The 14,568-nt window shown below is 38.1% G+C and overlaps 1 long non-coding RNA gene across 1 annotated transcript in view; it reads right to left on the bottom strand.

The window, feature by feature from the left end:
- Positions 1–346: 346 nt before the first annotated feature.
- Positions 347–14,568, bottom strand: part of LOC105370529 (uncharacterized) — a 149,443-nt gene continuing 135,221 nt past the window's right edge. Inside the window, exons 2-3 of the long non-coding RNA XR_943932.3 lie at positions 3,578–3,657; positions 347–2,015 (exon numbers count right to left, since the gene is read on the bottom strand). This is a non-coding gene — a long non-coding RNA (uncharacterized LOC105370529). The remainder of the gene's footprint in view (positions 2,016–3,577; positions 3,658–14,568) is intronic.

Below are 14,568 nucleotides of genomic sequence, written 5' to 3'. Positions count from 1 at the left end.
TTGCTGTTTTCTACCCAGGGCACAAACGTAATGGAATGAGATGGCTCACCGCATTATTTCCTCAAAGTCTCAGCTCAAATATTACCTTATCAGAGAGGTTTTCTCTGACCACTTTTGCGACCACAGCATCTGTCATCTCCTTCTATTTTATTATACTACATTTTCTTCATAGCACATATTACTATCTGATATGTTCAACATGCATTAATTTATTTGCTAATTGCACTGGATTGGAAGTTGAAGAGCGCAGGGATTTATTTCCAGATACATTCCTAGTGCTGGTGGTGTTTGTTGAGTGAATGAATGAAATTCTAGTTAAAGAACTTTTTTCTTTTTGAGACCGGGATTTTTTTTTCATTTTTTTCTGCTTTTATTTTAGGTTCAGAGGGTACATGTGCATGTTTGTCATATGGATAAGTTGCAGGGGTTTGGTGTACAAATTATTTTTTCATCACCCAGGTAATGACCATAGTATCTGATAGGCAGTTTCTCCATCCTTGCCCTCAAGTAAGCCCCAGTGTCTATTGTTCCCTTCTTAGTATCCATTTGTACTCAATGTTTAGCTCCCGCCTAAAGAAAGAACATGCAATATTTGGTTTCCTGTTCTTGTGTTAATTTGCTTAGTATTATGTATGGCCTCTAGCTCCACCCATGATGCTGCAAAACACATGATTTTGTTATTTTTTTACGGCTGCATAGTATTCCATGGTGTATATATACAATATTTGCTTTTTCCAGTTCACCATTGCTGGCATCTAGGTTGATTCCATGTGTGTCTTTGCTGTTGTGAATAGTGCAGTGATTCACATACACATGCATGTGTCTTTATGGTAGAACAATTTATACTCCTTTGGGTATATACCCAATAATGGGATTGCTGGGTTGAATGTTAGCTGTGCTTTAAGTTCTTTGAGAAATCTCCAAACTGCTTTCCACAGTGGCTAACCTACTTTATATGCCCAATAGCAGTGTATAAGCATTCCCTTTTATCTGCAACCTCATCAGCATCTGTTATTTTTTCACTTATTACTAGATTTGCATTTCTCTAATGATTAGTGATGTTGAACACTTATTTTTATGCTTGTTGGCCATGTGTATGTCTTCTTTTGGGAAGTGTCTGTTCATGTCATTTCATGTCATTTGCCCATTTTTTAATGAGGTTGTTTGCTTATTGAGTTGACTTCCATATAAATGCTGAATATTAGACCTCTGCCTGATTTATACTTTTTCAACTTTTTCTCACATTCTGTAGTTTGTCTGTCTATTCTGTTAGTAGTTTCTTTTTCTGTGCAAAAACTCTTTTAATTAGGTCCCACTTGTCAACTTTTGTTTTTGTTGCAATTGCTTTTGGAGTCTTTGTCATAAAACTTTTGTCAGGGTCTCTGTCCAGAATGGTATTTTCTAGGTATTCCTGTAGGTTTTTTTAAATAGTTTTAGATGTTATATTTAAGTCTTTAATCCATCTTGAGTTGATTTTTGTGTATGGTGAAAGGAAGGAATTCAATTTCTGTCTTCTGCGTATGGGTAGCCAGTTACCCAGCACCATTTATTGAATAGGGAGTTAATTCCCTGTTCTGTTCCATTGGTCTATGTGTCTAGTTCTGTAACAGTACCATGCTGTTTTGGTTACTGTAGTCTTGTAGTATAGTTTGAAGTTGGGTAGTGTGATACTTTCAGCTTTCTTCTTTTTGCTTAGGATTGCTTTGGTTATTCAGGCTCTTGTTTGGTACCATATGAATTTTAAAATTGTGTTTCCTAATTCCGTGAGAAATGCCATTGGTAGGAATAGCACTGAATGTATAAATTGCTTTGGGGTGTATGGCCATTTTAACAATATTGATTTTCCTGTCCATGACCATGAAATGTTTGTTTTTGTTTTTCATTTGTTTGACATCTTAAAGACATTTCTGATCCATGATCTTAAACAGTGTGGCTGCTACCACATGATCGCTGATTACCAAGTATGTTTTCATGTCCTATGCAGAAGCATTCTTCTGTGCCTCTCTTTAATACTCCTGAAAGATATCAATTAGTTAAGCTTTATGTGTGCATGTCTTTTATTGTTTGTTGGAACATTAAAAGAATCACAACACAGAAGAGCCTTCTTCTCTTGATCTTAAGAAAAGACTTCTTCCAACTGAGTAGACAACTGAGTTTCCAAAGGAAGAAGAAGAATGTTATTTTCAACTATTTTCTAATGTTTTGATTAGGACAAAATGGTCTTATTCCTTCCAAAAGAGTTTTTCTCCTTGCCACATGATAAAAGCATTCTCTCAATGAGTCACCAAAAAATCATACGTTTTCTCGATTTGGTTTGTAGCAGAAAACATAGCCCTATTACCTTGATTCCATTCCTTTTATCTCCAAAATTTTCTTTCACCTTAGATCTTGTAATCTATGCAGCATTTAGTTTAAATATTTTATTTTATTATTAATTAAATATTATTATAATTAAATATTTTATTTTATTGGTTAATAAAAATCTTCTCCCTCGATTTTAGCCTTAAAATTTTTTACCAAGATAGTATTTTAATAAGAGTTTTCTGGGCCCAGAAGGGCATGGGTTCTTCTGTGGTAATGGATGATGTTCCTTGTATCTCGCATAGAGATGGTCTCAATAACTATGATCATAAGAGATGACAGACTCAACTATATGTTGGCTCTTTCACATAACACTGGGAAAATTTTTGGAAAACACTTACAGGACCTTTTTGGCATGGAATCACAAACTAGTGGTTCATATGCGAATTTTAGCCCCCAGATGTGTGTGCTTGACATGTCATAGTCCCTAAGGCTACATGTTCTATTATACCCACTGCTTCTTACAAATATGCATTGCCAACCTGGACCCTGCAGGCATTTGTGTCTGACCCAGAAGACCCATAGAACTTCAATCACTGCTGCTCTTGGTCTTTCCTCACTAGGCTTCAGATCATTTACCCTTTAGCTTCATTTTACCCATGACTAGAGTTAATGTCAGGCTGTTGACCATACATCAGTTAGGAGATTCCACAGCCACTCTCTATAAACTTCAGCTAGAATGCTTCCTTCTAGCATTACAGAAGCTCTTTCTGAACAAAACTTATTTTTAGAAATGCAGCATAGTGATTTTTTTTCTAAAAGTAAAGTTTGAATATCTGTTTTATTTAGAAGCCTTGGGGACATTATGGCTGAGGAAATACATTCTTCAGCCAAAGGACTTGATCATATTGTCCTTACAGATGACACTGGGTATTTTGCTAGAGTAAGGATAATAAAATTAGACTTGTCATCCTTGTTTAGGAAACTGAGAAGTAAATGTGTAGCATAACGGTGCTGGCTCAGGCATTTAGATCTGAGCAAAAGGAGCAATAACAAGATTCCAATTTTTAGTAGCAGGTACCACCTGGCCTTAGTGCCTATTCTGGGCAAAGCCACTACTCAAGGTCACAATCTCAAGTCTTTCTTCAATAAATGCCTTGCAATATGTAGTAACTTTAACATCTGTTTTAGACTTCCACATAGTTATTCTCTTTTGCATCCAAAACTCCCCACTACAAAATGAGTCCTGTTTCAATCTTTGCTGTATCTAACTTACCTTCCAGGAAACAATCACTCAAAAAAAATCTTGATCCTCCCCTTCACTCTTGACATTGCCTTGATATCGGGACTAATCTGCTGGATGAAAACACAAGAATTTATTGTTAACCAGATTAGTTATCAGGCAGGGAAAAATTTCAGGCAAGCTACCTGCTACAGAACTAGGAGACACCTAAGCAGGTTTGGAGCCTCAGTGTGTACCCTTTATTTATACGCTTTAAAAAAGTCCCAGAAGTTTAACAATATGCCTTTTGGTCAATTGCCGTGGGTTACTTTCATAACAAAGAAGGCTTTCTATATAAATTCTTAGTTTTCAGAGTGTAAACTTTTACGTTTATTCATGCTTTCCCACCGCATACTCAGGAACTTATTCAAGTAATATAAAATATGGAAAAGTAGCTGGAGCATAAAGAGTAATGCCCAGTTAACACAGCCCCCACACTTTATGTCACACAAAATGTGTTTGTTAGTTCATGCACTGTAAGCAGTGTGGCTCTTAAAGGAATTGCGGCCTCCACTACACTTCAAGCTTTCCACAGGCTCACAAGTTTGTGTATTATAATTCTTTGTGCCTGAACATTAGCTCACTAATCACGCCTTCCCTGTGGATGTGTGGACTACAAGGACCCATGTTTATTTTGTCTGTCAATTCTGAACAATGGTATTTTCCACAATATTTTATGTGAGTCTATATAGTCCAGGCTTTTTGTGAAAAACTGTATTTTAAGACTTTATAGAGACAACAAGTGTTATTAGGTAAGAAAAACTGAATTCTTTATGACAGAATCCATATGACAGAATCAACCAGAAACACTCTATTAATAGACAATACAAGCTAATTTCAGATATGCATATGTAAGTGTCATTGTAGGAGTACAAATTGCACTCCCTATTTGTACAATCAATAGGGAGTGTGGGAATTCACCATTAACCACAAATTTCCTTTCACTAGTGCATTGATGAATGCCTACATACTGACTGGGTAAGGGAAATTACATTTTTTTCTCATTACCCTGGTTCTGGTATTTCTTTACCTTCCTCTATACTCAGAGAAATTCAAATCAGATTCATAACCTTCTTGCATTAGAAAATATCAACTCAAAGATTGGTTAATCTTTGTCTTCAAGTGCTTATAGTTTAGATGTTTTAAGGACAAAGATCTGTTCCTATTTCTGTTTGCTAATGCACAAATATGAACAAATGTACCAATTTCAGGTCATAAATCTCTCTTCTACTTGATGATACATTGTATCTTTTTTGTTTCTGTCATAGATTCAGAGGAATTTATAATCCTCCTGCTTCTTTTCAGAAACAGGAAAAACACTGGTGTCAGAGTTGTAAAGAGCAGGAGAGTTATTTTTTTATTTTTTATTTTTTTGGAGATGGAATCTCGCTCTGTTGCCCAGGCTGGAGTGCAGTGGCGTGATCTCGGCTCACTGCAACCTCCTCCTCCTGGATTCAAGCAGTTCTCCTGCCTCGGCCTCCCAGGTAGCTGGGAGTAAAGGCACGCACCACCACGCCTGGCTAATTTTTGTATTTTTAGTAGAGACAGGGTTTCACCATGTTGGCCAGGCTTGTCTTGAACTCCTGACCTCAGGTGATCTGCTAGCTTCGGCCTCCCAAAGTGCTGGGATTATGGGCATGAGCCACTGTGCCTGGCTGAGAATTACCTTCCTATAAGCATTTTTTTAAGCTCTTTGCCGTATACTTATTTCTATATATTCATTCATTATTTCCTAATTCCTTTCCTTCTTCCACTTGGCCCCCAACGACCAGTGGTGGGACCTGGAATATAAAACTGTCAAATTTGTACCTCTGGACTGCTCTACTATTCAACTATTTTGTTACAGGGATCAGAATCTACCTTCCCAGTATTTGTAGCTTCTTATATTTGTTCACACATTGTTGTAACTTAAGAAAGATGCTAGTCTTGCCTGGAAAATCCCTGGCACTGTGAGAGTCAGGTAATATCCTGGAAAAAAAAATCTTTTAGAAAGATGATTAGCCATGATATTACACCTGATCTTCTAGTTTCTTCCTACACTCTCATCACCTTGGAAACCCAGATAACAAGAGATGAGAGGTTTCTAGTACTTATCTAGCCTAAGAGCTTTTGCATCCTGTACTGCATCACAATTACAACCTTGCCAAAGAAGCCATAGATAGATTACTGAGTCTCCCAGTGCATGAGTTAAAAACCTCAACTCTCTTATATTTTGTATATTAGGGAATTAGGGAAGAGAAACATGCATTATTCACTTTTTTCTATATATTTATATGCAGGTAACTGGCTCTAAGAATATACAACTTCAGACCCACAAAGAGGCACTCTTAAGTGATAAACTGGAAACAAAGGGAATACTATGTGCTTATTTTATATGTATGACACATAACCTATACTATTAGGTTTTGAGGAAAGGATGAAATGTCATATCTCTAAGAGAAAATGGAAAAGGGACAAGTTCAAATGTGTCTGCTCCTGTTAAATCTCTTCCTATTTTAGTATTAATCATCCAATTAGATTTGAATATGCTTTTGTTTCTTTGTAGTACTCATTGCTCTTTATGACTCAAATTCTCATTCTTAGCTGGTATCTGGTAAGGCTGACTTGCAAGGACTCATAAGTGATTGTATGACAGCAAAATCTGCTTAATTCTCAGGCTAATCTTTTAAAAACTTTTCTACTCTGAGTTTAATAGAATTGACATCATCCATCTGTACACCAAGACTAAGGCTATACTAGTGATTTTGTGGCTGTGTCAATTATTTTCCAGAAATTTTAACATATCAGAAAAACTCATGATAACAGTCACTGTGTACCTCACAAGAGCCTCCATATTTCAATCATCTGCCAATGAAAAGCTTTAAGCACACTATGTTCTTTGCACATCTAAAATGTATATTCTTTGCAATGAGTCACCTGTTGTCTGTCTTACAGGCATTTCCTTTGAGCACTCATCATGACTGTTCATTGACATTTCTGTGTTGGAATTAATTAAAGTATTGAGGCAAATTTAACTTTTCCACAGTATGGCAAATAGGTACTGAAAAGTTCTGAGTAATAAATGTGGAGCATCGATCACAGGGCCACACAACATACATTTAACAGATGAACTGTGAATTGTCAAGGTTATAGTCTTACCTGGTTCTGGATAAGGAAAAGGAATGTTCCCATGACGTGAACTGCTAATGAGTAGAGCAGACTATGTCTCCGTACCACAACCTATTTGTTGATTTATGTTCTTGATCTCATAGGGCATTCATTGACACCAAACATTTTTATCAAAATAACACTTGTATCCCATCCTCCATGAAAATGTGTCCAAAAAAGCCTAGGCTACTTTTAATAAGCAGTTTCTAAAAGAATGTGGAGGCAGGTTCAGGATATGATCTGAATGATTTATCTCCAACAGAGCTATCCAGGGTACTGAGCCCTCCGCGTCTAAATCTGATTTACTGCTTGTTCCTACCTTGAGAGCGTTGCCCTGTAATTTTCAACTGCTCTCATTTTAGCTTTGGCTTTGACTCCACTTTTCCATATGTCAGATAACTCATAAATCATCCGCCTGCCTAAATCTCTATCCATCCTTTTGCTTTCTTAGCCCAATTACCAGCAGTTGGTCCTAAGAGGTATGTTAACTGAGAATACCATCTCTTTTCCTGCCTTATATCAACAACCTATACCCAAGCCACTATCCTGGAAAGTATCTCTGACTCTCCTAGAGCTAAAAGGAAGAAAGAATCAGAATATTTAAAACCTGGGAATTTGATTCATTTATGATCAGAAGTACATTCTTCAACTCTCTAAGGAGAATAAGCCACATAACCTATTCTATAAGATTTCCAGTTCAAGAATGAAGTTCCCGGTCAGCCTAACTGGAAAATTAAGAGGGACTCAAGGATTTTACCTAGACTTTAGAGTGGGTTCATCTGATCGCACAAATAAGCCTAAGTCAAGATCAAAAACATAAACTTCACGACAGGAGCTTTGTACTTTCTCACTTGAATGAAAGGATGTGAACAACAAATTGTGGCTCTGAGTATTTTTGAGGTACTTTGTCCTGTTGGACTCTCTGGAATCAGAGAAGAATCATGAGCTGATGTGGAGGCCTAGAAGCAGTAAGAGAATCCTTCACATGCAGCCTAAAGGCAAATAAATGTTCAGCCTGTCTTGGGATACAGAGACCAGACAGGATGAACTTTCACAAGCTGAAGAGAGAGGAGGACAGGAATCTCAATGTCTGTCTGTGTGAGCAACATCATGACCCAAAGGGACCACAAGGGTCATACCTTGGAACCTGAAACCGAGAACATTAACTGAATATCATTTGGTAGAAAATGTCTTGGTATTTGTCACTAGTCAGTATTCAACTGCGTAACTGCCTTTCAGTTTTTTTTTTTTTAGTTGTCCTTGTAATTATTTTTGCTTTTTGAGAAAAATGTTCAATACCAAAATGAATGCCCTTTGGATTTAATATGTCAAAGACTTTATAAATCATATTGATAAAGCAGGAATAATATAGATCAGCACCAAGGTAACTTTTAACACTATTTTGAGAGGAGAGGATTCTAGGAAGATGGTGGAGTAGGAACCTCCAGGAATACATTGCCCCACCTAGACAACAATTGCACTGGCAGAATTTGTCTGATGTAAGTATTTGGGAACTCTGGAGTCTGCTGAAGGCTTGGAACTTCCAGAGAAAAGTCTTAGAAAGTAAATTGCAGTTAATATCTGTTCATTTTCAGCATTTATCATGGTAGCAGACACTCATTTCCAGGTCTTAGCCACATGGCAAGCAGCTGTGCTCCTGTGTTCCTGGAACAGTTTGCAAACAGCTTGCTTGAGTGAAGGTGGGTAAAAAGGAACCTGTCTTTGAAATATCTACAATCTGTGCTCTGGTTCCTGATTGCTGCTTCTGCTGACACAGGTGTAGACAAAGAGATGCTCCTGCATTGTTGTAAATTCCTATCCTAGCTGAAGTGACTTCTAGGAGAGTGAAACAGCTGACACCCTTTTCCACTTACCTTCATTTTTCTTTTTTTGTTTTGGGAGCCAGAAATTGAAGAGAAGGACATTGAATACAACTGCATATGTGGGGAAAATCAAAAAGCAACCATGCATACCCACGGGAAGGCTCAAAAATGGCCTCCAGAAACAATGTAAATGACAGCAAACCCAGGATAGGGACAGAATGTGATTTCCAGAGATTTTTAGATTTAAATGTATAGTTTTCAACAAAAAATTCACAAAGCATATGATGTGGTTTGTCTCTGTTTCCCCATGCAAATCTCATCTCTAAGCCTGGTGGAAGGTGACTGAGCTGTGGGGGCAGACTTCCCCTTTGCTATTCTCATGATATCTGGTTGTTTGATAAGTGTGGCACATCCTCCCAACTCCCTCTCCTCCTTGCTTCTCCTTCCACCATGATTCCCAGTTTCCTGAGGTCTCCCCAGCCATGCAGAACTGTGAGTCAATTAAACCTTCTTTTCTTTATTAATTACCCAGTCTCACATAGTTTTTTATAGCAGTGTGAAAATGAACTACTATACAAAATTGGTACCAGGAGAGTGGGACACTGCTATAAACATAAAATGTGGAAGCAACTTGGGAACAGTTTGGAGGGCTCAGAAGAAGACAGAAAGATGAGGGAAAGTTTGACACTTCCTAGAGACTTGTTGAATGGTTTTGACTAACGGGCTGATAGTGATATGGAAAATGAAGTGCAGGCTGGAGAGGTCTCAAATGGAGATGAGGAACTTATTGGGAACTGGAGTAAAGGTCGCCCTTGCTATGCCTTAGCAGCATTTTGCCCCTGCCCTAGTATCTGTGGAACTTTGAACTTGAGAGAGATGATTTCGGTTATCTGACAGAAGAAATTTCCAAGCAGCAAAGCATTCAAAAGGTAACCTGGCTTTCTCTAAAAGCATATGCTCATATGTGTTCACAAGAGAGAGTCTGAAATTTGAACTTATGTTTAAAAGGGAAGCAGAGCATAAGGTTTGAAATATTTGCAGGCTGACCATGTACTAGAAAGGAAAAACCCATTTTCTAAGAAGAAATTCAAGCTGGCTGCAGAAATTTGCATAAGTAATGAGCCAAATGTTAATAGCCAAGACAATGGAAAAAATGTCTGCAGGGCATTTCAGAGAGCTTCATGGCAGCCCCTCCCACACAGGCCTCAAGGCCTAGGAGGAAAAAATGGTTTTGTGGGCTGGGCCTAGGACCCTGCTGCTCCAGTTCCAGCCATGGCTAAAAGGGGCCAATGGACAGCTTGGGCCATGGCTTCAGAGGGTGTAAGCCCCAAGCCTTGGCAGGTTAGACGTGCTGTGGGGCCTGCAGGTGCACAGAAAGCAAGAATTAAGGTTTGTGAACCTCTGCCTAGATTTGAAAGGATGAATGAAAACATGTCAATGTCCGGGCAGAAGTCTGCTGCAGGGGCAGAGCCCTCATGGAGAACCTGTGCTAGGGCAGTGCAGAAGAGAAATGGGGTGTCAGAGTCTTCAAAGAGTCTCCACTGTGACACTGCCTAGTGGAGCTGTGAGAAGAGGGCCACAGTCCACCAAACCCCAGAATGGTAGATCAACAGCCTGTACTATGCACCTGAAAAAGCCGCAGGCACTCAAAACCAGCCTGTGAAAGCACCCATGGGGGCTGTACCCTGCAGAGCCACAGCTGCCCAATGCCTTGGAGGTGAGATGTGCAGTCAAAGAAGATTATTTTGGAGCTTGAAGATATAATGCCTGCCCTGTTGGATTTTGGACTTGCATGGGGCCTGTAGCCCCTTTGTTTGGGCCAATTTTTCCCATTTGGAATGGGAATATTTACCCGATGCCTGTACCCCCATTACTAGTTTTTGATTTTATAGGCTCAGAGGTGGAAGGGACTTGCCTTGTCTCAGATGAGACTTTGGACTTTTGAGTTAATGCTGGAATGAATTAAGACTTTGGGGGACTCGTGGGAAGGCATGATTGGTTTTGAAATGTGAAAGGAACATGAGATTTGGGAGGGGCCAGGGTGGAGCGATATGGTTTGGCTGTGTCCTCAACCAAATCTTATCTCAAATTATAATCGCCACATGTTGGGGGAGTAGTCTGGTGGAAGGTGACTGGGAATGAACTTTCCCCTTGCTGTTCTTGTGCTAGAGTTCTCATGATATCTGGTTGTTTGTTAAGTGTCTGGCACTACCCTTGTCTGCCCCCTCTCTCCTGCTGCCTTGTGAAGTAGGTCCTTGCTTCTCCTTCAACTTCTGCCATGATTGTATGTTTTCTGAGGCCTCCTCAGCCATGTGGAATTGTGAGTCAATCAGTCTCAGGTATAAAGAACTACCTGAGACTATAAAACTCAGGTAGTTCTTTATAGCAGCATGAAAACAGACTAATATAGCATAAATTCACAAAGCATACAAAGAAACAGGAAAGTATGGCCAGTTCAAAGCCAAAAAAAAAAAGATGAAGAGAAACTGTCCCTGAAAGACTTGATGGCAAATATATTAGACAAAGGCTATATATATATAAAATATATATACATATATATACACATATATAATATATATACATATATATTTGCCAAAAAATATACACTGACGTATGATAAATGTATACAATGCAGAATTAGTGAATTAAGCTAATTAGCATAACGATTACCTTAGATATTTGTCATCTATTCCTCCTAACAGAAACTTTGTACCATGTGACCAACATTTCTGCAGTCCCTAAAGTGAGTCATTGGTAGACACAATATAGTTGGATCATGTGTTTTTAATTCATTCTGCTAATCTCTGTGTTTTGATGGGAGTGTTTAATCCATTTATATTTAAAGTAATTACTACTGAGGGACTAACTAGCATCATTATGCTCTTTGTTTTCATATGCTTTATAGTCTTTCCCTCTGATTTCTTGCCTTTCTATGTTTTCCATTTAGTTTGTTTTGTAGCAATATATTTAAATTCCTTAATCATTTTCTTTGGGGTATATTTTATATCTACTTTCTTTGTGGTTACCGTGAAGATGGGTTTATACCAACCTAACTTTAAAACATACAAATCCTCTGCTCCTTTATAGCTGTGTCCCCATCCCTTTTAGTTGATGTCACAAAACTACATGTTTATACATTGGGTGTGCAGAAACAAACTATTAAGTTTTTTAAGTGTATTTGTCTCTTAAGTTATATAAAACCAAATCTGGCATTGCAAACAAAAGTTACAGTAATACTAGATTTTAGACTAATAATCATTCTAAAAAATGTATTCATTTAAAAAAAGCATCTAGAAAACAAAAGAGGAGTTATAAGCTCCTGGTACAATAATGCTTCCTTTTGTAATTATCCATATTTACCTTTATTGAGAATTTTATTTCTTCATATGGCTTTAAGTTACCATCTACAGTATTTTCATTTAACTCTAAGGACTCCTTAGAAAATTCTTTTTGCAGGGTAGGTCTAATGATAATAAAATTACTCAGATTTTGTTTCTTTGAGAATGTGATCTCCCTCACTTTTAAAGGACAGTTTTGGCAGATGCAAAGTTTCTAATGAGAAACCTGCTGATAATCTTATTGAGAATACCTTGTATGTGATAACTTGCTTCCTTCTTGCTACTTTCAAGATTCACTATTTGTTTTGTCTTTCAAAAGTTAGATTATAATGTATCTTGGTGTGAGTTGACCTAGGCAATGCCATTCAGGACATAGGCATGGGCAAGGACTTCATGACTAAAACACCAAAAGCAATGGCAACAAAAGCCAAAATTGGCAAATGGGATCTAATTAAACTAAAGAGCTTCTGCACAGCAAAAGAAACCTACTATCAGAGTGAACAGGCAACCTACAGAATGGGAGAAAATTTTTGCAATCTACCCATCTGACAAAGGGCTAATATCCAGAATCTACAAAGAACTCAAACAAATTTACAAGAAAAAACCCCATCAAGAAGTGGGCGAAGGATATGAACAGACACTTCTCAAAAGAAGACATTTATGCAGCCAACAGATACATGAAAAAATGCTCATCATCACTGGCCATCAGAGAAATGCAAATCAAAACCACAGCAAGATACCATCTCACACCAGTTAGAATGGCGATCATTAAAGAGTCAGGAAACAATAGGTGCTGGAGAGGATGTGGAGAAATAGGAACACTTTACACTGTTGGTGGGACTGTAAACCAGTTCAACCATTGTGGAAGAGACAGTGTGGCGATTCCTCAAGGATCTAGAACTAGAAATACCATTTGACCCAGCCATCCCATTACTGGGTGTATACCCAAAGGATTACAAATCGTGCTGCTATAAAGACACATGCACACGTATGTTTATTGCGGCACTATTCACAATAGCAAAGACTTGGAACCAACCAAAATGTCCATCAATGATAGACTGGATTAAGAAAATGTGGCATATATACACCATGGAATACTATGCAGCCATAAAAAAGGACACGTTCATGTCCTTTGTAGGGACATGGTTGAAGCCGGAAACCATCATTCTGAGCAACTGTCGCAAGGACAGAAAACCAAACACCGCATGTTCTCACTCATAGGTGGGAATTGAACCATGAGAACGCTTGGACACAGGAAGGGTAACATCACACACCAGGGCCTGTCGTGGGATGGGGGGCTAGGGGAGGGATAGCATTAGGATAAATATCTAATGTAAATGATGAGTTAATGGGTGCAGCACACCAACATGGCACATGTATACATACGTAATAAACCTGCACATGGTGCACATGTACCCTAGAACTTAAAGTATAATAAAAGAAAAAAACAAAGCTGAATAACAGGACTGATTGATGAGAGTGTAGATAGATGTAGATAGACGCATCTCTTCTGGAGAGCATGCCAGTCATACTTGGTCAACCTAAGTATTCCATAGCTCTGAGCAACCATTCCACTGCGGAGTATATATCTTAAAGTCTCTGAGAGGTCCGCATGGAGATGAATACAAGAAGGTGCACTGCATTGTTGTTTGTGGTACCAGTGAGTTTGAGGCAAGCGAAATGTGACTGCATACCATGGAGTACTGTGCAGTCGTTAGCAGCAACAGACTAAACACACACATAGTGATTTGAATGGACCCTGAAACCACGTTATGCTGATTGTACAAAAAAAACTAGAGAAACCTATAACATACTCTTTCTGTGAACTAAATACATGCATACATGTCACAATATGTGAAGAATTTGTGCAAATACACATACACATTAAATATGTTAGAATATTTGTCTGTAGTAAGGAAGGAGGAGAAAGGAAGTGAGTCATGAGTATAAGAGGGAATAAATAAATAAAACAAGAGAGGGATCTTGCATGGACCAATGATGATAATGACCCATTAATGAGCTTGTAAGAATGAGTAGCTCAAACTTCTGTACCCGAGTTTACAAATAAATGAATAAAATATGATGTTGTCCTTTTTAAAAAAAATAAAAGCAATAAAACAAGCTTGGTTCTTTGACGAGATCAACAAAATTTACAAACCTTTATCTAGATGTCTAAGAAAAAAGACTAAAATTACTAAAATTGAGAAGGAAAGTGGACCATTTCTAACACTTCTACAGAAATAAAAAGGACTATGAGTATCATAAAAATTTTATGTTTACAAATTAAATAACCTAGTTGAAATGGGCAGATTTCTAGAAATACAAAACTTGCCAAGACTAGACGCTGACAGGGATGCAGTGAACAGGGAACACTTCTACACTGCTGGTAGGAATGTAAACCAGTACAGCCACCATGGAAAACAGTGTGGAGATTCCTTAAAGAAAGAACTAAAAGTAGAACTACCATTGGATCCAGCAATCCCACTACTGGGTATGTACCCAGAGGAAAAGTCATTATTCGAAAAAGATACTTGCACAAGCTTGTTTATAGCAGCGCAATTGCAAAATCGTGGAACCAATTCAAATGCCCTTCAATCAATGAGTGGTTAAAGAAACTGGTATACATATATGATGTAATACTACACAGCCATTAAAAGAAATGAATTAACAGCATTAG

Source organism: Homo sapiens, chromosome 14 (genome assembly GCF_000001405.40).
Source record: "Homo sapiens chromosome 14, GRCh38.p14 Primary Assembly".
Taxonomy (NCBI): domain Eukaryota; kingdom Metazoa; phylum Chordata; class Mammalia; order Primates; family Hominidae; genus Homo; species Homo sapiens.
The sequence above is the reverse complement of the archived record's forward strand: the minus strand, read 5'-3'. Positions and strand labels throughout refer to the sequence as shown.